At 55.7% G+C, this 23009-nt stretch overlaps 1 protein-coding gene across 3 annotated transcripts in view, besides 6 other annotated features; it reads right to left on the bottom strand.

Annotated features, from left to right (window-relative positions):
* Positions 1-21046, bottom strand: part of SYNGR1 (synaptogyrin 1) — a 35585-nt gene extending 14539 nt beyond the window's left edge. For 2 of the 3 annotated variants that reach the window (NM_004711.5, NM_145731.4), the window contains exon 1: positions 20928-21046. In NM_004711.5, the coding sequence (NP_004702.2) occupies positions 20928-21026 (99 nt within the window). In that variant the 5' untranslated portion in view covers positions 21027-21046. Of the gene's footprint in view, positions 1-6740; positions 6891-20927 lie in introns of those variants that run through there. The other variant, NM_145738.3, reaches the window with a different exon arrangement.
* Positions 8003-8588: an enhancer, noted in NCBI's record as "H3K4me1 hESC enhancer chr22:39758454-39759039 (GRCh37/hg19 assembly coordinates)". NCBI's record gives its function as "activates a minimal SCP1, AML or CMV promoter by ChIP-STARR-seq in primed H9 embryonic stem cells {active_cell/tissue: H9 hESC(primed)}" and the evidence as "EXISTENCE:reporter gene assay evidence [ECO:0000049][PMID:30033119]".
* Positions 8589-9175: an enhancer, noted in NCBI's record as "H3K4me1 hESC enhancer chr22:39757867-39758453 (GRCh37/hg19 assembly coordinates)". NCBI's record gives its function as "activates a minimal SCP1, AML or CMV promoter by ChIP-STARR-seq in primed H9 embryonic stem cells {active_cell/tissue: H9 hESC(primed)}" and the evidence as "EXISTENCE:reporter gene assay evidence [ECO:0000049][PMID:30033119]".
* Positions 10404-11202: an enhancer, noted in NCBI's record as "H3K4me1 hESC enhancer chr22:39755840-39756638 (GRCh37/hg19 assembly coordinates)". NCBI's record gives its function as "activates a minimal SCP1, AML or CMV promoter by ChIP-STARR-seq in primed H9 embryonic stem cells {active_cell/tissue: H9 hESC(primed)}" and the evidence as "EXISTENCE:reporter gene assay evidence [ECO:0000049][PMID:30033119]".
* Positions 13118-13646: an enhancer, noted in NCBI's record as "H3K27ac-H3K4me1 hESC enhancer chr22:39753396-39753924 (GRCh37/hg19 assembly coordinates)". NCBI's record gives its function as "activates a minimal SCP1, AML or CMV promoter by ChIP-STARR-seq in naive H9 embryonic stem cells {active_cell/tissue: H9 hESC(naive)}" and the evidence as "EXISTENCE:reporter gene assay evidence [ECO:0000049][PMID:30033119]".
* Positions 19567-19616: an enhancer, noted in NCBI's record as "active region_19045". NCBI's record gives its function as "activates an Ori minimal core promoter by ATAC-STARR-seq in GM12878 lymphoblastoid cells {active_cell/tissue: GM12878}" and the evidence as "EXISTENCE:reporter gene assay evidence [ECO:0000049][PMID:35858748]".
* Positions 20840-20999: a silencer, noted in NCBI's record as "silent region_13750". NCBI's record gives its function as "represses an Ori minimal core promoter by ATAC-STARR-seq in GM12878 lymphoblastoid cells {active_cell/tissue: GM12878}" and the evidence as "EXISTENCE:reporter gene assay evidence [ECO:0000049][PMID:35858748]".

The raw sequence follows: 23009 nt of genomic DNA, 5'->3' as shown, positions 1-23009 counted from the left end.
TGCACAGGATATATTAGTACAGTAGTAGCATATATGAAACCAATAAATCTACATTGAATGGGAGGATTGGTGCAAACATTTTTCCTGAAAGGAGCACGATTAAAAGTTTAGAGACCGGCCAGGTGCGGTGGTTCATGCCTGTAATCCCAGCACTTTGGGAGACCAAGATGGGTAGATCACTTGAGGTCAGGAGTTCGAGACTAGCCTGGCCAACACGGTGAAACCCTGTCTCTATACTAAAAATACAAAAAATTAGCTGGGCGTGGTGGCACACAACTGTAATCCCAGCTACTCGGAAGCCTGTGACAGGAGAATGGCTTGAACCTGGGAGGTGGAGGTTGCCGTGAGCTGAGATTGTGTCACTGCACTCCAGCCGACAGAGCGGGACATTGTCTCAAAAAAAAAAAAAAATGGTTAGAGACCTCTGGGTTAGGATGTTGTGTGTTAAGGGGGATTCTGACCTAAATGTGCACAGCAGATGAATGGGGACACAAAGTGTGGTACATTCATAAATTGGACAATTTTTCAGCCATAAAAAGGAACAACCAGCGTGGGCAACATTGTAAAACCGCATCTCTACAAAAAATACCAAAATTAGCTGGGTATAGGCCAGGCGCGGTGGCTCACACCTGTAATCCCAGTACTTTGGGAGGCCGAGGCGGGTGGATCATGAGGTCAGGAGATTGAGACCATCCTGGCTAACACGGTGAAACCCCATCTCCACTAAAAATAAAGAAAATTAGCTGGGCGTGGTGGCACGTGCCTGTGGTCCCAGCTACTCAGGAGGCTGAGGCAGGAGAATTGCTTGAACCTGGGAGGTAGAGGTTGCAGTGAGCCGAGATTCGCCACTGCACTCCAGCCTGGGCGACAGAGATCCGTCTCAAAACAAAACAAAACAAAAATTAGCTGAGTATGGTGGCATGCACCTGTGGTCCCAGCTACTTGGGGGACTGAGGTGGGAGGATTGCTTGAGCCTGGGAGTTTGAGACCAGCCTGGGCAACACAGCAAAACCCCATCTCTACAATAAATAAATTACAAATTATAAAAAAGAAAAAAATGTACACTGAATTATACAACATTAAAATGGTATGTTAGGCTAATCTGGCCACAGTAAAAAAAAGAAAGGATTCTGAAGCTGTGTTCAGCCCATGGTTCAGCCATGGGCACAGAGGTGGGCAGTGGTGGCCCGTGAGCCACCATTTGCCAGTCCTGATTTGGGAAAACCCCATGACCATGAGACTTCAGACCCGTGAGGGCATCGGGGCCCACAGCTCTGCCTCCCACAGGCTCTGCAGCCTCACCATCACCCCTAGAGTGGAGAGGGCTATTTGTAGTGTTCCCAATTGGCAGAGTAGAAAAACTAAGGCTCAGAAAGAGAAGGTGGCACTGTTGTCAGCAGCACAGGCTGAAGTTGAACCCAGGTCTCCTGATTCCCAGACCTGTGTTCTTTTCCACCTGGCCAAGCTGACTCTCAGCCTCTGGAGGTGGGCCCTGAAGAAGGGATGGAATTTACTCCCAGAGACCCAAGGGATCAGGCAGAGGACCAGCAGGGAGGAAGGCCGGGAGGGTAGCTTCAGTGTGACTGGGGATCAGGCGACTCGATTCAGTCTCAAGTCTGGTGCTCAGAGGCACAGTGGGGAGCGCCTGTGAAGTCAGGACAGAGCCATTGTCAAAGGGGCTCCTGAGCTACTGACAAACCAAGACAAGCAAGGCAGACTCTGAACACTGGGAGATGTGCAGTACACGGCCAGCTGCTTGGGCCGTGGACTGCACAACTCCAGGGACTGCTAGTCACACAACCCCTTGCACTGGTGTACTGCAACAAGTCCAAGGCTCCTACCAGAAAACTGTCAGGTTGGGAACCTGAGGCCCAGTCCTGGATGTCACCAGATGCCACCAAACCAGAACAGAAAAGGCTCCTGATCAGAAAGAGACTTCAGACACTGAGGAATCATACAGACCCGCCAATTCAAATCCAAGGCCTGCTGCTTATGCTGGGTAGCCTCAGGCAAGTGACTTAACCTCTCCGAGCCTCAGATTGGTCCTCTGTAAAAATTAACATCCCCTCTGGGGCAGATGGGAGAATTAGAGCAAGTACCCAGAGCAGAGCTTTGGAAGCCCCATAGGGGCTGCATAACGTTCATTTCCTCTCTCAAGGCCCCAGAAAAGAGGAATAACACCAGGAAGGCCCCTCTCGAACACTTACTAACAGACACATGCTTCCGGGGGCTGGAGGAGACCCCACTGCTGCCAGCGCTGAAAATAAGTGTGGATCTCCTTCCAAAAACAGAACAATATCAGGCTCCCTGAAGACAGAGAGGAGGTGGGAGGGGAAACAGGCAGGCAGAAGCCTGGGCCCTGGGGACAGCAGAGGAGGAACCATTAAGACTGGGCTCTCTTGGGAGACAGAGGCAGGCAGTCCTCAGAGAAGCCAGGAGGAAAGTGCTGGAGAGGATGTGTCCCCAAGAGGGTGCAGAGCAAGAACAGAATAGCTTCGGAGGGACTGGGCGGGGCCGTATGGCCCCAGCAGACACCCGCCTCGGTCAGGCATTCATCACAGGTCACAAGTTTCTCAGCTCCTGGCACTGCGCTGGGAGGGGCACCAGGCGGTAATTCAGTCCAAGAGACCCTGCTGTGGGAGCCGATTGTGTGGGGAGCAAGACTGAGTCAGATGACCTGGGCCCACTGAATCCCAGTGTGGCCACTTGGACCAGTGGGGTGACCTAAGGCCACTGACTTAACCTCTTGAGCCTCAGTTTCTGCATCTGTCAAGTGGGGGCAACAATAGCACCGAAACCAAGGATGCATTGTGAGGAATCAGTGAGGTCATGCATGCAAGGAAGGGCACGTGGCCTGGAGTAAGGAGCCCCAGAAGGCTAGACTGCCACTAAACTCATGGAACAGATCACAAAGGCAATGGCGGTCCCTGGCAAACGCCAGGAGGGAGCAGTGATGGCCAGGGAAAAGGGCCCTGAAGCAGGGCCTCCGATTGGAGACAAGAATGAGCCAGGCCTGCAAAGATCTGGGGGAAGTATGTTCCAGGCACAGGAACAGAAAGTGCAAAGGCTGAAGGCAGGAAAAGGTTTTGTACGATGAGGTGGGAAGGAATATGGCTGGAGCAGTGACCCGGGAACTAAGTACATGGGACATGCAGCGGGACAAGGCCTGGTGAGCTGCTGTGGTGGGGACTTTGTTTTTTTTTTTTTTTTTTTTGAGACAGGGTCTCGCTCTGTTGCCCAGGCTGGAGTGCAGTGGTGTGACCTCGGCTCACTGCAACCTTTGCCTCTTGGGTTCAAGCCTTTCTCCTGCCTCAGCCTCCCAAGTAGCTGGGATTACAGGCGTGTGCCACCAAACCCAGCTAATTTTTGTATTTTTAGCAGAGACGGGGTTGTGCCATGTTGGCCAGGCTGGTCTTGAACTCCTGATCTCAGGTGATTTGCCCGCCTCGGCCTCCCAAAGTGCTGGGGTTACAGGCGTGAGCCACCTCGCGCGGTCTACAACCCAAGCTTCTAAGGCTGGGGTCAAGGCCCTTCATGTGCTGGCCCCGCCCACCGCTCCTGGGGTCTCACCTCCTTCCACTCCCCCTACCACCTGCCTCCCCACCTTTGCACGCCCCAGGCCCCTTTCCATGTTTTCCTCCCTGGAAGACTGACTGTCCCTACCGCCTGCTACAGGCTGAGCTACAACCTACTTTGCTGTTTGTTTGCTGGAGTGGAGTGAGTGAGCTGCCTGCCCTGCCCTGGGGCCTGGGAGGCCTCTTCTGGGGCTTGACATCAGCCGTTCGTTCACTCAACATTTCCTGAGCACCTAGTATGTACCAGCCCTGTGCAAGAGGCTGAGGACACAGTTGGGAACAGGATGTATGAGGTTCCTGTTCTTACCGAGGGAGACAAGTGTCATGAAGAACGAAGCAGGGCAAGAGGAGGCGGACTGGGGGCCCAGGGAGGCCTCTGATGCAGCGACCTTTGAGCAGAAGTCTGACTCAGTGAGGGACCCGAGCCCAGGGAAGAAGCAGCCACAGGTGCCAAGGCCTTGGGTGCAAAGAAGCTGTGTGTGTTCAGGAGCGGCATGGAGGCCCGCACGATAGGAGCCGAGCAAGTGAGGGAGACACCAAGAGGCGAGGCTGGCGAGGAAGATGGGTTGGCCTTGAGGGCCAGGGTGAGTTCAGGAGACACTGCAGGCTGAAGAGCAGCTGAGTGACTTGATGCGACTTAGGTTTGAGAAGAATCAGACCGGCTGCTATGGAGAGAAAAGACTGTGGTGGCAAAGGTGAATGCAAGCAGCCCAGACAGGAGCTACGACAGCACCCAAGTGAGGGACAGGCCTGGGGCTGGTGCAGGCAGTGGAGATGGGGAGAAGTGGTGGGTGCTGAATATATATATATATTTTTGAGATGGAGTCTCGCTCTGTTGCCCGGACTGGAGTGCAGGGGCGCAATCTCAGCTCACTGCAACTTCCGCCTCCCGGGTTCAAGTGATTCTCCTGCCTCAGCCTCCTGAGTAGCTGGGATTATAGCCGTGCGCTCCTGCACCTGGCTAAGTTTTATATTTTTAGTAGAGATGGGGTTTCACCATGTTGGCCAGGTTGGTCTCGAACTCCTGACCTCAGGCAATCCGCCCGCCTTGGCCTCCCAAAGTGCTGGGATTACAAGCGTGAGCCACTATGCCCGGCCTGAATATATTTTGAAAGTAGAGCCACCAGAATCTGCAGACACAGCCGACGTAGGGAGTGAGAGGAAGAGTGAAGAAGCTGGGGATGGTGGCTCACGCCTGTGATCCCAGCACTTTGGGAGGCCGAGGTAGGTGGATCACTTGAGGGTGAGTGATCACTCCTGGGTGAGCCCAGGGGTTTGAGACCAGCCTAGGCAACATGGTGAAACCCCATCTCTACTAAAAATACAAAAATTAGCCAGGCAGAGGCTGAGGCCAGAGGATTGCTTGAGCCCAGGAGGTGAAGGTTGCAGTGAGCTCTGATTGCACCACTATACTCCAGCCTGGGGGACAGAGGGAGACCCTGTCTCAAAAAAAAAAAAAAAAAAAAAAAAAAAGAAGGGGCTGAGCGCGGTGGCTCACGCCTGTAATCCCAACACTTTGGGAGGCTAAGGTGGGCAGATTGCTTGAGACCAGCCTGACCAACATGATGAAATCCTGTCTCTATTAAAAATACAAAAATTAGCCAGGTGTGAAAAAGAAAAAAAAAAGAAAAAGAGCAGATGGGGGAGGAAGTCGTGGGGTTTAGGCTCAATGATGATAATGGGGAGCAGAGCCGTCGCCTGCAAATGCCACATCCCTTGCAGCCTGCTGGTCCACAAGTGGGGAAACTGAGGCTCAGGGAAGGGAAGGAACATCACTGAGGATACAGAAGCAGTCCCTTACAGTCTCCTGAACCCCCTGCAGGGCTGTCAGCTGCCCTCTGTGTCAAGGGTTTAACTTCTCCATTTAGCAGCTGTACCCCACCCTGAGTGGGAGCTCCCCCAAAGCACGACACAAGCCTCAGGTTTCTGCCCCTCAGCCACTCACAGTACATGGGAGGAGGAGCAGAGACTTGCCCAGGGCCTGCTGTGTGCCCAGAAATGTATGCTCTTCACTCCACCAGCTCAATATTCTTATTCCCATTTCAGAGCCGCTTCTAGGGACCTGCACAGGTCTCGCAGCTGGGCAGGAGTGGAGTTGAGGCTTGAACCTGAGTCTCTCTGGATCCAAAGCTGGTGCCCTGTGCCAGGCAGCATCCCTGAGTCACTTGCTAAGGCCAGATCTGCAGGGACAGCAAGGGGCACACAGAGCAGCCACAAGGAGACACTGGAGAACCGGAAATGAAACCAGAATGAAATTCCACACTGGCCACAGCAGCCGAGACACTGGGGAAAATTCATCCAACAAGCGGATCTGCTGTGGGGAAGGGAGACAGGTCTTCAGAGGCAGAGCCAGAGGCCCAGAAACAGGGGAGGATGGAGGGTGATGGCCAAGGGAGGACCCAGGTCACCAGCAAGCAGAGGGAAAACAAGCTTCCCTCGAGCTAAAGCAAACGCTAAAAAAAGGCATCAAGGTAAACCTGCCAAGCCTCTTTGGTTTTTTTCCGCCCTCTTTAAAATCCAATCCCGAGTCTTTTTTAAAAACGGATTCCAGATGGCGCTTGGTGGAGATCTATGTCAAACTCAGAAAAACAAATCAGAAGGAATCTCAGAATCTTGGATTTCAGGATCCTTGGCTACTGGATTCAGAGACACATAGAAACAGAGACCCCAGAAGCACCAAGCCCTTTGTGGCCTACCCTGATCTCATCTGTCCCCCTCCCCACCCTATGCAGCCACCACAGAGGGCTGAGAGTGGGTGGTGTCCTCAGGCTGTCTGACAACTCTGCACCTGCCTTCCTACCTTCTTCATCTTCAATGGGAGCGAACTCCTCTTTGCCCTCTGAACGCTGCTGGGATATAGTGACTCCCAGACACCTTCAGGGACAACCCACTTCCCAGTCACTCTTTCCCACCCTGAGCCTTGGTCACTCCTGGCTGGGACCTATTTACAAGTCTGTCCCCACTCTGAGACCCTGAACCAGCCCACAGCCTCCCAGGAGCTGGTGCCAATGGAAGAAGGCACCTAAATCATCTATTTTAATCCCCATAAAAATCTGCAAATCATCCCCACAAAGCAGTCTTATACTTAGAGCATTTCACAGTCAGGGAGGCTAAGGCTCAGAGAGGCCCTGCCTCTCGCTGACCCACAGCAGATGGGGAACCTGCCTCACATCCGGGCCTGCTCCTCCAGCTCACCCACGACCTCTGTGTCCAGCTGCCTATCCATGAAGGATCGAATTCCAGAATCCCAAACTCTAAGGTCAACATGAGACCAAGGAGGCATGCCTGCTGGTCCTGAGCCGTGTCCCGCAGTGCAAAAGGGCACAGGCCCACTTTACTTGAGGGGAGATGGTATCTCCCCTCTGCAGACAGACCACCCAGGGTGTGCCTAGGACCCACTGCAGGGCGTCGGCTAACGAAGGCTCAGGGCGAGCTGTGCCCAGCCAGCATGGGGGTGGCTGAGATCACTGTAACGCTGCCAGGAACCTCCTAGAGGCCTCGTTTTAAACGTTTTTAGACAATGCTGGCTTTCCCCAGATAAGCTGCAGAGAGATGACATCTGGAGCCCACGGCACTCTGTCCTCCCAGCTCCAAATGGAACCGTCTACCTCGCCCTGCGCAGGAACATCCCTGAGCTGGGTGGCTCGGGGGAGCCCTGGTCCCTGCCCTGCGGTGCAGGCAGCCAGGCAGCTGGCCCCTGCCCATGTCCAGGTGCCTGACACCACCACAGCCTCCTCTCCAGCCTCCTCCAGGCAGTCCCCAGGCAGCAGCCAGGGGGATATCACCCACTCCAAACCTCAACAATCCCTCCGCTGGCTGAAGATAAAGTCCATCACCCTAGAATGGCCCTGAGGTCCCCCTGCTTGGGCCATGAGTCCTTCCTCCAGTGCCCCAGGCTCTCTCAGCCTCCCCAGTGATCTCTCTCAGCCTCCCCAGCACCAGCTGCTGGGCCCCAGTCCTGGGTTCATACTCGACCCCTCCAACCAGTCTGACATTCGGGCCAGCTGCTTCAACCTCCTCCCAAAACTGTCAAGTCCCTCCACCCTGGGGCAGGCCACTGTCACCCCTCTCCAGGCAATGACAGCAGCCCATATGTCCACTTGCACCCCCACACTCTGTCCCCTCATAGCAGCCAGACAATCCCCTTAAACCCAAGTCAGGTCATGTCACCCCCCAGGTCTAGACTCTTGGATTGATGCTCACCCACCGCCCCCTGCCCAGGTAAAGACCTTCCCCCACCAAACGCCAGGGCTCCTGCCTTCCTCTGAAGCTCCCCAACACTCTCCTCCCAAGCCCTCCTGAGTTCATCCCTGCCTCAGGGCATTCACACTCGGCTCTTTCCTCTGCCTGGGATGCCTGTATTTCTCCAGATCTTCCTTCAGCTGGCTCCTCAACACGCACATCTCAACACAAAAGACACCTCCCCAGAGAAGCCCTCCAGACCAGACTCCAGATCTAAGGTATTCTCCAGTGCCTCAATTAATTTTCTTGGTAACATCACAATATAACTTCTTTCCTATTTGTTGGTTCAGTTGTTGGGTGCACGTCTCTCCCCCAGACCCAGGGAGAGGGTCAGGAAAGGCTTTGAGGGGAGTAGACAGCAAGTCTGATAGTCAGAGAGGGCCAGGCAGCACGGGGGGTAGAAAGGAGAATCATCCCCTCCTGAGCGTCCTTGGCTGGCACCTCCGCTTGCACACCCCTGTGCACAGGGAGCTCACTCCCTGAAAAGGGGGCTGCCGAGCCCTCTCCCCACAAGCTGAACCCAGCCTTCCTGCCCTTGTCCTGGTGCAGGCATCCATCCTGCCTCCTGGGGAAAGGCTGAGGGAAGAAGGGAGCGGTCACACTTTGAGAAATGAGTCAGGCTGCCAAGGGCCCCCCTTCACAGGAACAGGGCCTTGTCTTCCCCCAGGGTCAAGTGAGGAAAATGGCTGAAGCCGCATGGACACATGATGGGTGTTGGGCAGCCCCTTGTCTTCCTGAAGAGTCTCACTCTGGGGAAAAGGTGGGGGTGGGGCAGGTGAGGCTCCAGGCCCCTCCCCCACCCCGCCTCACACCGGGTTGTGCAGCCTTGGAAGTGACCCACTGGGGATTAGGCGTAATCTCCGCAAGCTGTCGCCCCGAGTGCTCGGTGGTGGGGGTGGAGTGGACTCCGCTGGGCAGGGCCTGGGCGAGCAGACCCCTGCCTCCCCAAGGTGCTGAGGCTGGGCCTGGGTGATCTGCAGGCCCCTCCCTCTTTCCAGAATGCCCCATCTTCCTCTCCTCTGGCTGAGTAACCTCAAGGGGGCCTTGGAGCCTCAAGAAAAAGGGGGAAATTGGCCGGGCACGGTGGCTCATGGGTGTAATCCCAGCTATGTAGGAGGCCGAGGCAGGAGGATCACTTGAACCCAGGAGTTTGAGACCAGCCTGGGGAACATAGTGAGGCCTCGTCTCTACAAAAAAAAAAAAAGGAGAGAAAGGAGGAAACAAAGACCCAGAGAGGGCTCACTTGACTGGCCCAGGGCCTTACTCTCAGTGGCAGAAGTATCTGGACCACCATCCCCATAATCCTGTACCCCCCCAGGGCCTTCTTTACCCCAGGTCTTATCACCTCTGCCCTTTCAGAGGCAGGGAAGAGGTGGGAGAGGGGAGCAACATCACCACCTGGAAAGGGGTGTAAATGCCAACCAAACACTGCAGAGCCCTTCAGGGCTAGACCTCATTTACATGCCCCGAGACTCCTGGGGTAGGCGCTGTTGTACCCATTTTATAGATGCGGCCACTGAGGTTCTGTGAGGTCTCTCAGTTGATAAGAAGGGCAGGATTGGCCGGGCGTGATGGCTCATGGCTGTAATCCCGGCACTTTGGGAGGCAGAGGCGGGTGGATGACTTGAGGTCAGGAGTTTGAGACCAGCCTGGCCAACATGGTGAGACCCATCTCTACTAAAAATACAAAAAAAATTAGCCAGGCATGGTGGTGGATGCCTGTAATCTCAGCTACTTGGGAGGCTGAGGCAGGAGAATCGGTTGACCCCGATTGTGGAGGTTGCAGTGAGTTGGGATCGTGCTACTGTACTCCAACCTAGGTGACAGAGTAAGACTTTGTCTCAAAAAAAAAAAAAAAAAAAAGGGCAGGGTTAACCATCCAGTTCTGTCTGCTTTTCCTCACCCCAGTGCCTGCCCCCGCCCTGCCAGTCCCTGCATGCCTGAGGTTGTTTGGTTTCTCTCCTGCTGTGCAAATTCCAGGTCATCAGGGAAATAATCTGGTCCCAGGCCCTGCCTCACCTTCTAGAGAAGAAAGGCACAGAAGGGGAAAGCTCCCTGTTTTGAGAACTCTGTCAGTCATCCCCACAGAGCCCAAGGGAAGCAGGGAGGGGAGCGCAAGCTTGGGAGAATCCAGGAAGGCTTCACAGGGAGGTGATATTTGAGCAGGGCCCTAAAGGCCAGATGGGACACCTGAAGAACCGTGGCTAGAAGGACGACCGATCAGTGCAGTTCCCGCCACGTCCATCCATAGTTGGGGCCCTAAGGAGATGCCTGGAAGCAATCTAGTCCTGGGGCTATGACAGATGCAGTTCTCGCCCTCCAAGCGTACACCCCAGCAGGGGCGACAGCCTCGTCTCTGCTCTGCCAGGCCTTTCAGCATTTGCCCTCGCTGTTCCTCCTTCCCCCTTCTCTGCCTGGCTGGCTCCTGCCCTCTCAACGCTGACTCAACGCTGGTGTCACCTGCCTGTCCCTCTCTAGGGGTCTGTGCTCACCTCCATATTTTAACTGGTTTCCACCACATTTCCCTCCACTAGACTGTCAGCCCTCCCTACAGACCAGGCACCTCATCCGGCCCGTGCTCAGCATGTATATTAAAGAGAGGACGAGCGGGGTGAGGGTGTCCACATTCTGCGGCGAGCGGGGTGAGGGCGTCCACATTCTGCAGCCGTTTGGATTCAAGGGAGGATGCATAAACCCCTCACGGCTGCCAGACGCTGCTGAGAGATCCATCAATGACAGTTGGCCATGAGATTGGCAATGTGAAGGTCAGGAATGAGCCTGAGAAGATGGCGAGGAGGGGCGAGAGAGCCCGTGGGGAGTGCGTGTGGGAGACCGCAGAAGAAACCCTGGAGACGGTGACAACTCTTCTGAAGGACCAGAGAAATGGATGAGGGAGTGTCTTCCTGAGATGGGGAATCACGCACATTTGCAAGCTGACGCAGAAGAGCCAAGAGTAGAGAGGGCGAAACTGAGGGTGGAGGAGAGAGAGGGAGAGAGAACTGATGGACGTGTGTCCTTGAGTAGGTGAGAGGAACAGGCTCACGAGGCTGCAGCCAGGCTGGCCTGGGCCACCAGAACAGGGGAGATAGTCTAGGATGAGGGGGGCAGGTGTGAAGATGCCTAGGACTGAATTTAACCAGAGCTGTGCCAGGCGAGTGTGATGCGCAGAAGGGCTGGAGCTGCAACACGTGGCCACTGGGAGGTGCGGAGGGAGACAGGAGGGACCAAGGGGTGGTGAGGGCCAGTGCACAGGGGAAGATCAGTGGTTCAGAGGCCCCAGGCCCAAGGATCTAGGATCAGGGGAGGGAGAGGGAGATGGAAAGGTAGGAGGGTTGGAGGAGACGCCTGGATGGAGGATCAGGGAGTGCGAGAGGCTACTGGGAAGGCAGGGCCAGGCCTAGCTAGGGTCCAGCTGGTGACAGTTGGCTGAGGCTGGCGGACAAGACCATGCGGGAAGAGGAGGCCAGGTGTGGAAAGGGTCACAGAAATAGACACTCCAATGACCAGGACTGGAGCAGGAGCAGTGCTGGAGAGGACTGACACCAAGCTAGGGTGGGCATCTTTTTTTTTTTTTTTTTTTTTTTTTTTTGAGACAGAGTCTCACTTTGTTGCCCAGGCTGGAGTGCGGTGGCGCGATCTTGGCTTACTGCAAGCTCCGCCTCCCAGGTTCACGCCATTCTCCTGCCTCAGCCTCCCGGGTAGCTGGGACTACAGGCCCCCGCCACCACACCCGGCTAATTTTTTTGTATTTTTTTTTTTTTTAGTAGAGACGGGGTTTCACTGTCTCAGCCAGGATGGTCTTGATCTCCTGACCTTGTGATCCGCCTGCCTTGGCCTCCCAAAATGCTAGGATTACAGGCGTGAGCCACCGTGCCCGGCCTGGGGGGGCATCTTTGAAGAACGGGCAAAGTGGCCTCGAGCTGGCTCATCATGAAGGGGAGTGGGCGACCCAGTGCTGGTGTGAGATTCAAAGCTGGGGGACAATGTCCTGTAAGTGGCCTCAGGAACCAGAAGGACCCTGTCGACCTCTACACCCAGCAGAGGGAGGGTCTGAGGGATAAAGCAGCCCCCACTGAACAGGCTGCAGGAAGCAAGGTCTGGGGCAGGCCAGGTTACAGTGCAATTTACAAAAGGTGTCAGGGACATTCTGGGAGGGGCTGAAGGCTCAGGGACTCTTGCCCCCTGCACTGTGAGGTACTGGAGGAGCCCCAACTTGTTAAAGCTCCTGCATGATTGCAGCTTGGGTTTGACAGCTTGGGGCTGTCCCAGCTACGCAGCCGCCCCTCTCTCCAGGTCCCCTTCACCTGGCCCCTGCTCCACCAGCAGCGGGGAGATGAGCAAAACTCTATCTGTGAAGGGACGTTTGTCCCAGAAACACAGGGCATGACTGCCCTTCCAGGCTCCAGCTGATGCCGTCTGCTCTGCTCTTGTGTCCGGAATTGGTGGGTTCTTGGTCTCACTGACTTCAAGAATGAAGCCGCGGACCCTCTCGGTGAGTGTTACAGCTCTTAAGGTGGTGCGTCTGGAGTTCGTTCCTTCTGATGTTCGGATGTGTCCGGAGTTTCATCCTTCTGGTGGGTTCGTGGTCTTGCTGGCTCAGGAGTGAAGCTACAGACCTTCGCGGTGAGTGTTACAGCTCTTAATGCCGCGCGTCTGGAGTTGTTCGTTCCTCCCGGTGGGCTCGTGGTCTCGCTGGCTTCAGGAATGAAGCTGCAGACCTTCGCGGTGAGTGTTACAGCTCATAAAAGTAGTGTGGACCCAAAGAGTGAGCAGTAGCAAAATTTATCGCAACGAGCAGACGAACAAAGCTTTGGAACTGAGCAGGTTGCCAATGCAAGCTCGGGCAGCCTGCTTTTATTCTCTTATCTGGCCCCACCCACATCCTGCTGATTGGTAGAGCCGAGTGGCCTGTTTTGACAGGGCGCTGATTGGTGCGTTTACAATCCCTGAGCTAGATACAAAGGTTCTCCACGTCCCCATCAGATTAGTTAGATACAGAGTTTGGACACACAGGTTCTCCAAGGCCCCACCAGAGCAGCTAGATACAGAGTGTCGATTGGTGCACTCACAAACCTTGAGCTAAACACAGGGTGCTGATTGGTGTATTTACAATCCCTGAGCTAGACATAAAGACTCTCCACGTCCCCACCAGACTCAGGAGCCCAGCTGGCTTCACCTAGTGGATCCCGCACCGGGGCTGCAGGTGGAGCTGCCTGCCACTCCCGCGCCGTGCGCTCGCACTCCTCAGCCCTTGGGTGGTCGATGGGACTAGGCGCCGTGGAGCAGGGGGTGGTGCTCATCGGGGAGGCTCGGGCCGCACAGGAGCCCATGGAGTGGGTGGGAGGCTTAGGCATGGCGGGCTGCAGGTCCCGAGCCCTGCCCCGAGGGAAGGCAGCTAAGGCTCAGTGAGAAATCGAGCGCAGCGCCGGTGGGCTTGCACTGCTGAGGGACCCAGTACACCCTCCGCAGCCGCTGGCCCGGGCGCTAAGTCCCTCATTGCCCGGGGCCAGCAGGGCTGGCCGGCTGCTCCGAGGGCGGGGCCCGCCAAGCCCACGCCCGGGTCCGGGGCCAGCAGGGCTGGCCGGCTGCTCCGAGGGCGGGGCCCGCCAAGCCCACGCCCACCCGGAACTCCAGCTGGCCCGCAAGCGCCGCACGCAGCCCCGGTTCCCGCTCGCGCCTCTCCCTCCACACCTCCCTGCAAGCTGAGGGAGTGGGCTCTAGCCTTGGCCAGCCCAGAAAGGGGCTCCCACAGTGCAGTGGTGGGCTGAAGGGCTCCTCAAATGCCGCCAAAGTAGGAGCCCAGGCAGAGGAGGAGCCGAGAGCAAGTGAGGGCTGTGAGGACAGCATGCTGTCACCTCTCACTCCCATGCATAGACCTGGGGCCCAGTGCCCCCTCTGCTGCAGGCTCCTACAAAGCATGAGGGGATGGCTCCAAACATCACTTTTTTTTTTTTTGAAACAGAGTCTTGCTCTGTTGCCTGGCTGGAATGCAGTGGTGGGATCTTGGCTCACTGCAACCTCCGCCTCCTGGGTTCAGGCGATTCTCGTGCCTCAGCCTCTGGAGTAGCTGGGATTACAAGCATAATCCTAGGCACCACCACACCCGGCTAATTTGTGTATTTTTAGTAAAGGCAGGGTTTCACCATGTTGGTCAGGCTGGTCTCAAACTCCTGACCTCAAGTGAGTCAACCACCTTGGCCTCCCAAAGTGCTGGGATTACAAGTGTGAGCCATCGCGCCTGGCCCCAACATCACTTCTTTAAAGACTGACCAATCCAAAGTTCCCAACCTGGAGTCCACTAGGAGCAAGAGTGGGGTTCTTCAAGGGTGGAAAGGTCGGGATCCACCAGAGCAATCCAACTATCCTTTTCCCATTTGATAGATGGGGAAACCAAGGCCAGGAGAGCATGGGCCTCTTGCTCCAGTCACACAGCCAATCACTGGCAGAGAGGGTGCAGAACGCAGCCTCAGGTCTCCAGGCCAAGGCACTCCTCTGCGCCTACCCTGCCTCCCCTCCCACCTGACAGCTGGTTCTTCCGGTCTGGGTGCCAAGTGTGGCTCCCTCCAACAGCCCTGCCATCTGCCTCTCCCTTCCTCCCTCCCTCCTCCTCCTGGCTTCTCCTCCTCTCTTCCCTTCCTCTCCCAGCCTCTGTTTTTTCTCCCTGGGGCTCAGGCCCGCCCAACAGCTTTGCACACGCTGCTCATGTGGGACTCCCCACATGGCTGGGGACTCCCTGGAGCAGGGGCCATGGGTTCCGATCCCAGTGACTCCAGTTAACCTCTCTGGGCCTCAGCTTTTCATCTAAGGAGGGGATAACAAAACGCACCACAGCAGACTTACGGCAGGCCTTTTAAACTTGCATTCAGGCCAGGCAAGATGGCTCACACCTGTAATCCCAGCACTTTGGGAGGCCGGGGCAGGCGGATCACTTGAGGTCAGGAGTTTGAGACCAGCCTGGCCAACATGATGAAACCCTGTCTCTACTAAAAATATAAAAATTAGCCGGGTGTGGTGGCGGACATCTACTCAGGAGTCTGAGGCAGGAGAATCGCTTGAATTTGGAAGGTGGAGGCTGCAGTGAGCTGAGATCGTGCCACTGCATTCCAACTTGGGTGACAGAGCGAGACCCTGTCTCAAAAACAAACAAACAAAAATAACTTGCATTTTCTTTTCCTTTCTTTCTTTTTCTTTTCTTTTTTTGAAATGGAGTTTCACTCTTTTAGCCCAGGCTGGAGTGCGATGGCGCAATCTCGGCTCACTGCAACCTCCACCTCTCGGGCTTAAGCGATACTCATGCCTCAGCCTCCCAAGTAGCTGGGACTACAGACGCGTGCCACCACGCCTGGCTAATTTTTTGTAATTTTAGTAGAGATAGGGTTTCGCTATGTTGGCCAGGCTGGTCTCGAACTCCTGACCTCAGGTGATCCACCTGCCTCTGCCTCCCAAAGTGTTGGGCTTACAGGCATGAGCCTCCACACCTGGCCAAAATTTGCATTTTTATAAACTCTCGAGGCCTCCCCAAACCCAGGCCCTCCAATCCCATGTTACAGATGAGGCAACCAAGGCTGAAAGAGGTAGGGGTTTTCCAAGGTCCCGCTCTGATGGCCCTGCTCCTGATGCCCTAGGCTTTCTCAGGCTCTTGAGGCCGCCCCTGGGCTGTCCCTGGACATGAGGAAGTGCCCAAAACACAGCAGAAATCTATCACCTCCCAGCGGTCTCCTTGCAGCTGACCCTGTCCTAGACCTGAGAGAGAAGAAGCGGCGGAGCGGCCGGCCACAGGAGGTGAAGAGGTGAGAAAGACTCCAGGGTGGTCAGCAATAAATAACAAACAAGGGCCGTGGGCCCACCTTCCTGTCTAGGTGACAGGGCTGTGCCCGGTACTGGGAGAGGACAGGCTGGACGTGACCACGCATTTCCAGCCACAGAGCCCTCTCCAAACCAAGCTTCCACAGGAGCTTCCGAAATACCCTTGACCCTCTCTCCAGCTTCCCACTGCCCTCAGAGGAAGTCCAGCTTGTGAGTCTGTCATCCAAGCCTCTCCTGGGCCACCCCTTGGGAATTCCTTCTTGTAGTGACCCGAGCCTCTGGGACAGTGCTTCCCACTCAATCCTGTTCTCGTTATTGGAGCGAGAGTGCCTTGGGGTGGCACTGAGCACTCAGCTGGCACTGAGCAGGGGACTTGTGGAATGAACAAATGAACATCAGAACTGGCCAGAGGTTCTGTCTCTACCCTGGACCCTCTTCCCCAACAACCGCTGGTCCCAGAATTTTCCTGTGGCCCCATGGCTGGCACATGGCAAGTTGGTTGGGGGAGGCAAGGGGTCTTATCTTGAAACTGCTGTGTTTACAAAAAACGTTCAGCTTTTTTTTTTTTTTATTTGAGACAGAGTTTTGCTTTTGTTGCCCAGGCTGGAGTGCAGTGGTGTGATCTCAGCTAACTGCAACCTCCGCCTCCCGGGTTCAAGCGATTCTCCTGCCTCAGCCTCCTGAGTAGCTGGGATAACAGGCGACCGCCACCACGCTCAGCTAATTTTTGTATTTTAGTAGAGATGGGGTTTCACCATGTTGGCCAGGATGGTCTCGAACTCCTGACCTCAAGTGATCCACCCGCCTTGGCCTCCCAAAGTGCTGGGATTATAGGCGTGAGCCACCTCACCTGGCCAAGTTCAGCTTTTTTATTCAGTGTTCACTTGGGATGATGGGGGGTGGAGTGGAGGGGGTGAATAAAACCAGGGGTATGAAGCTGCCCCCCTCAGGCCACCCCTTGGTGCCATGGATATCCAGGCAGAGAACCCACAGGGAGTACACAGAATGTGGAGCCCAGCAGTCCGGGTTCAAACCAAGTCTCTGACAAGCCCAGGCCTTGAGCTAGCACAAGTCACTTCTCCAGGCTGAGCCTTAATTCTGTCATTTGTAAAACGGGGGGAAGATACCCACCCCACTTACAGAACCATGTGGTATTATGGCCAAAGCCCTTAAAAAATGAACCCTGAAAATGGCAACATTTCAAACATTTTATCATTTTCATTTTGTCAAAGTAGAGAATTAAAGAAACATTGACTGGGCACGGTGGCTCACACCTGTAATCCCAGCACTTTGGGAGGCTGAGGCGGGTGGATCACTAGGTCAGGAGTTTGAGACCAGCCTGGCCAAGATGGTGAAACCCCGTCTCTACTAAAAATTTAAAAAGTAGCTGGGCATGGTGGTGGGTGCCTGTAATCCCAGCTATTTGGGAGGCTGAGGCAGGAGAATCACTTGAAACCAGGAGGCAGAGGTTGCAGTGAGCCAAGATCGCGCCACTGCACTCTAGCCTGGAGACAGAGCGAGACTCCATCTCAAAAACAAAAAACAAACAAACAAAAAACTCATCTGCCAGCACTGATATTCATTCCCTATAGTCCATCTTAGCCCCCTGCAAAAAAGAATATAAACTCCAAATAAAAGGTGGTCCTTTCTATTAAATCAGTTTAGCTTCTTGCTGTAACTCCTTTTTTTCCCATCTGGCTTTAGAACAAAGAAATGAGTCACTGACAGGCGGCAGTCACCGCGCAACAGATCAGGCACTTCTGACCCAGCCCAGCCCAGTTCGGGTGGGAAGACTGAGGCACAGAGGGTGGGGAGGGGACACTTACTGAAGGTCACAGCTGTGGCCTGGGGGTGCCAGGAGTGGCAGCTGATCTGCCACTGGGGCGATGACACCAAGAGGTGAGAAAGCCTTAGTCAAGAGACAAGCCATGCCGGATGCAGTGGCCCACGCCTCGCCTCATCGTCCCAGCTGCTCACAAGGCTGAGGTGGGAGGATCACTTGAGTCCAGGAGTCTGAGACCAGCCTGGGCAACACAGCAAGATCCTGTCTCTAAAAAAATAAAAAAGAGACAAGCCAGGTCTTGGAGGCCCTGCTTCTGTGCAGGCTGACCCAGGGGCTCAGAGGGCTTGGGTTCCAGGGTGGGTCCAGGTTGGTGAGGCCCTGAAGCTTACATGATTTGGGGGCCCTCTTTTGGAAAAGCAACAGAAAAAAAAATCTTTCTTTTACAAATTTTACAAAAATCCCAGGTCCAGGCCGGGTGCGGTGGCTCACGCCTGTAATCCCAGCACGTTGGGAGGCCAAGGCAGGTGGATCACCTGAGGTCAGGAGTTCGAGACCAGCCTGGCTAACATGGTGAAACCCCATCTCTACTAAAAATACAAAAATTAGCTGGGCGTGGTGGTGTGTGCCTGTAGTCCCAGCTACTTGGGAGGCCGAGGCAGTAGAGTTGCTTGAACCTGGGAGGCGGAGGTTGCAATGAGCCGAGATGGCACCATTGTACTCCAGCCTGGGCAACAGAGCAAGACTCCATCTCAAAAAAAGAAAAAAAACAATCACAGGTTCATGTGCACATGCTGTTAGGGCCCCTCCAGGGCTGTGGTAGGGGTCTGGGTTGTCCAGGAGTCCTGGACAGGGTGACAAATTGTCCCTGTTTGTCTGGACTAAGGGCCTCTCAGAATGCTAAAGGCAGGAAGTTCCAGCACACCAGGATAAACGGGTCACCCTGGTCCTGGAGCTCAGCTTCACTTGCTCTGCCCTGTGGTGTGAGGGCCAAGAGCAGGCGCCAGCTGCATCCCCCGCAGCTCCTGATGTGTTTAAATGGCTCAGCACGCCACACAGTTTCGAAAAGACCAGAAGGAGACAGCACCCTATTCACTGCAGCCCTCCCTAAGTGGTGGTATCACATGATTACCACCCCCCACCAAACTTTTTCTGTTGTGGTAAAACACACGTAACATACAATTTACCATCTTCACCATTTCAGTGGTGTTAAGTACATTCCTACCGTGCAACCATCACATGTGATTTTTATACTTTCCAATAATTGGCAGGTATTACTCTGATCAGGAAAAAAAGCTACTTTTAAAGGTGTCAATCAGCCTGTATCAGACACCTCTTGGTTCGACAAAGGTAGTGAGCGCCTTGTATCCACGTGTGTGAGCAGGACTGGGAGGCTGTGGGGTCGTTTGAGCATTGGTTGGTCCAGGTGACCTTTGTGTCCTTTCCAATCCTGACATTCCAGGATTCTGGATTCTTCCCTGCCCCAGGGGGAGAACTACTCTTTGGAGACAGGAAGACCTAGGCTCAAATGCTCGTCTGCCACTTACATGCTTAGTGACTTTGGGCCAGGCACTTGGCCTCGCTCGCTGAGCCGCAGCTTCCTCTAGTGTTGGGGAACCAGCTAGGTAGCTGTGTGTGGTCTTGCACCCCATGGGTGCTCAGAGGGGCTGATCCTTCCTCCTGCTTTCCACGTCCTCTCCCCTGGATGTGCATATGTATAAACCCTCATCCCACCAGGCCCAATCTGACATCACCTTCACCATGAAATTTGATTCCACAGCAGGGAGACCCCTCTCCTGGCTCTTGCGGCCTCTGCCTGGGGGCACCTGGCTCACTCCCCAGTGGGACTGTGGCTTCCCGAGAACAAGGGCTGCTTCTGAGTCACGCTGCCTTCCCTTGGGGCCCAGCAGATTCAATAAAGCTTTGCTAAATGAAGGCATCAGAGGCAGAAATGACCCAAGCAGACAAGCCCCCTCACAAAGCCAGTGGCTTCGCCCTTCCAGGCCAGAGGCCCAGGGGTGGGCAGACTAAAGCAGTGAACGCAGCCCACCCGCCTGATCCGGCAGGTGCCCCCCAGGGCTCCCACCTTTGGCAAGGGTCTGTTGGGGCATCTGGGGAGCAGGAGACTGGCACAGATAAATGAATTCAGAGCCACAAACACAGATGTGCTGGGGTGCCCGGCTCTGTGCAGGCACCGACACAAGGGTTAAAGGAACTGGGCTTTCCTGCCCTCAAACAGCTCCCATCTGACGGCATTTGAGAAGAAAAGGCTTTAAATGGGGTCATCCTTCGCAGACCAGGGATACATACCCAAGCCATCCTACCAACCAGACCCTGAAAACCAAGGAAAGGAGGAAGCTTGGGCACCCTGAGGTCACAGCTGGCCTTGGGGTAGCCCCTGGGGTCCCTGACAGTCTAGCCCATTCCTAGTCTAAGCCCACAAGGAACGGGCCCCAGGCCTGCAGAGGCCAGAACCTCGAGTGGGAGTTTCTGGGATACAGCCAGCCAAACCCAGGGAGCCCCAGAAACCCCCTCTCCAGACCCCAGCAGGGCTTCTTTCCATGAGGTGCCACTCAAGGCACCTGAACCCCTCCCTCTGTGCTCACTGTCTCTGACCCATCCTCTCCCTGACCACCCGTCTGAACAAGAGCCCACTCAGCCCTCTGCACTGAGGACCCTGCCCCCCAGCTAGGCTGGAGGCCACCCTGGCCTCTTCACTGTGGGAGCAGACCTTTCTCCCAGACACCCGCCTTGGGCATCCAGGTGCATGCTGAGTGGGAGGGGTGTTACCGGTTCATGAAATGTCAGAGCCCAAGGGGGCCTCAAGAAGGCTCCGCCCACCTTGTCTATAAATTGGGAAACTGAGGCATGAGAGAGGAGATGACACTCCCCACCTCGGAATTGAAGTCCTCATTTCTCGAGAACATTTCCTGGGTGGCTCCCAGCCCAAGGTCACGCAGAGAAGGAGAGGCAGTTCCCGGGTGGAAGAGAGGTACTCAGTTCCCGACTCATCGCTCCACACGGGCCGGGCTAGGCAATACGAACCCGGTTCCCGGCCCTCTCCTCCTCCAACGTCCATCGCAGGCGCGGCATGCACCCCACCGAGATGGTCCACGCCCTGATCCACCCCCCAAAAAAGGCCACCTTAAACCCTGGCTCCGTCCCCACGGTCCCCAGTCCGCCCTGGCGGCCGCGCACAATCCGAGCCTTTCGCGGCATAGCCGCGGCCTGGAGGTCACAGCAATCGGGGCGGGAAGGGGGGCGCACGAACCGGGGGCCCCAGGAAACCAGGGCTCCGGGAGCCGGAGCGGCGTCTCCCGCGAGCACCAGGGATCCCGCCCGCCCCGGGCCCGGGAAGGAGGAGCGGCGGCAGCGGGCCCCGCAGGCAGGACAGCTCCTCGCCCGCCGCCGCGCCGCCGCCGGGGGCCCGTTGGGGTCGGGGTCGGGGTCGGTCCGGGCGCGCCGCCTTTGCTCACACCCCCACCACCCCGGCCTGGCAGAGCCGTCGGCCAGTCCGTCCTTACCCAAGACACGACGCGCAGGATGGTGTGCGGCTGCCGGACCAGGGTGTAGGGGTCGAAGGCGCCCCCGGCTTTGCCCGCTCCGTACGCACCCCCTTCCATCGTGGCTGCACCCGCGCGGTGCCCCCCGCTCGGCGCGCGCCGCCGGCCCGTGCGCGTGCGCGGCGCCCCCGCCCCCTCCCCTGCGCGCGCGGCCGGCGGCCCAGGGCTCCCGCGAGGGGGCGTCGTGCGCGGCGGGCGCAGCTCGCGGGGCGCGGGCGGGGGGCTGGGCAGCGCGCGACCTCGGGCGCGGGGGCGCGCGTGCTGCGGCCCGGGGCTCAGGGCGCGCTCGCAGCCAGTGCGGTGACCTCTTTGCAAAGTGTTTGGGGGAGGGCGGTGCGTGCACAGCAAGTGTGGGCCGTGTCCCTGCCCCGCATCCCCGGTCCCCTGCCCCGGTCGCAGCCCCTCTGAGCCGTCGGCTCTGCTGAAACCATCTTCACGCTTGATTTGTTTGGCTGTTTCCTGCCACTTTGTCGGCCCCAAATATAATGAGAGGGCAGGAGCTGTGTTCGTCCTTCTTAGAGGGTGCTTGGTACGCAGTAGGCGCCGCATGAATATTTCTCGAATGAATGAACCACGAGTGAATGACCCTCTCTTACAGCCCTCCAGAGCAGCCCCCACCTCCCAGGACCACCCTTCCCCTGCCTCTTACGATGACGTCATGTGTGTCCCTGTGCCCGCGCACCCTCCCACCCCCAGCCTGGAGGGGCCTGGCACAGAGGCGGCGGCTGAGACTTCCTCTTCCCCATCCCCTCCTACCCCAGAACGTTGCCCCTTTCCTGAATCTAGCAATTAATTACGCAATCATTTGTTCATGGCCTCTTCTGCTGCTAGTCTGTGAGCTCCCGAGGCCCAGGTGTTGTCTAACTTATTCAATGCCTTACCCAAGGGCCTAGCATACAGTAGGTGCTCAGTAAACAGAGCCTAGTCCCCATCACCCCATCACAGCTTGGGCTAGACCTCCAGGTTTCATGGAAACGGAGGCTAGATGGAGGAGTGCTCCCTGCAGGGGAAGGGCCACCTTCCAGGGCTGGCTCTCCTGCTGCCCTGTAGCTCTATGGCCTCTCTATGTCTGCAGTCACCTTCACTGGTTCCAGGAGCAGGTTGGATGAGGATATGGGTGGAGGCTTTTGCTTCTCTGGTATCCTGCCATTCTGTGATGACAGGACACAACATCTGTGTGGAGGAAATGTGTGCTGGGCCTGAGGGTGCTCCTTATAAAAATTACATAGTCAATGTCCATCTTAGGCTCAGCTGATTGTTTAGTCTCTACCAGGCCTTGTGCTAAGGGCTTTACATACATTTTCACATTTAATCCAGCACACTTATAAGGTGTCTACTATGACTATATAAAACTTTTAGAAGAAAGCACAAGAGAAGGCCGGGCGCAGTGGTTCACGCCTGTAATCCCAGCACCTTGGGAGGCCAAGGTGGATGGATCACAAGGTCAAGTGATTGAGACCATCCTGGCCAACATGGTGAACCCGGTCTCTACTAAAAATACAAAAATTAGCCGGGCGTGGTGGCGAGCTCCTGTAGTCCCAGCTACTTGGGAGGCTGAGGCAGGAGAATCACTTGAACCCAGGAGGTGGAGGTTGCAGTGAGCCGAGATCGCGCCACAGCACTCCAGCCTGGCAACAGAGCGAGACTCCGTCTCAAAAAAAAAAAAAAAAAAAAAAAATCATGAAGAACATGATTCATAAAAGAAACAATTGATAAACTGGACTTTATCAAAATTAAGAACTTCTGTTCTTTAAAAGACATTGTTAAAAGAATGTATGAAAAGACAAACGATAGTCTGGGAGAAAATATTTGCAAAGCATAGATCTAAAGAACTTGCATCCCAAATAAAGAACGTTCGAACTCAATAATAATAAGAGGACCCACTTTTTAAAAAATGGGCAAAAGATTTGAATAGTTATACACCTCACCAAAGAAGATATACACACGGCAACTCAGCACATAAAAAGATGCCCAGCATCCGCGGTGGCTCACGCCTATAATCCCAGCACTTTGGGAGGCCGAGACGGGCAGATCATGAGGTCA

Source organism: Homo sapiens, chromosome 22, assembly GCF_000001405.40.
Source record: "Homo sapiens chromosome 22, GRCh38.p14 Primary Assembly".
Classification (NCBI taxonomy): Eukaryota; Metazoa; Chordata; class Mammalia; order Primates; family Hominidae; genus Homo; species Homo sapiens.
Note: the sequence above shows the minus strand (reverse complement) of the source record. Positions and strands in the feature narration are given on the sequence as shown.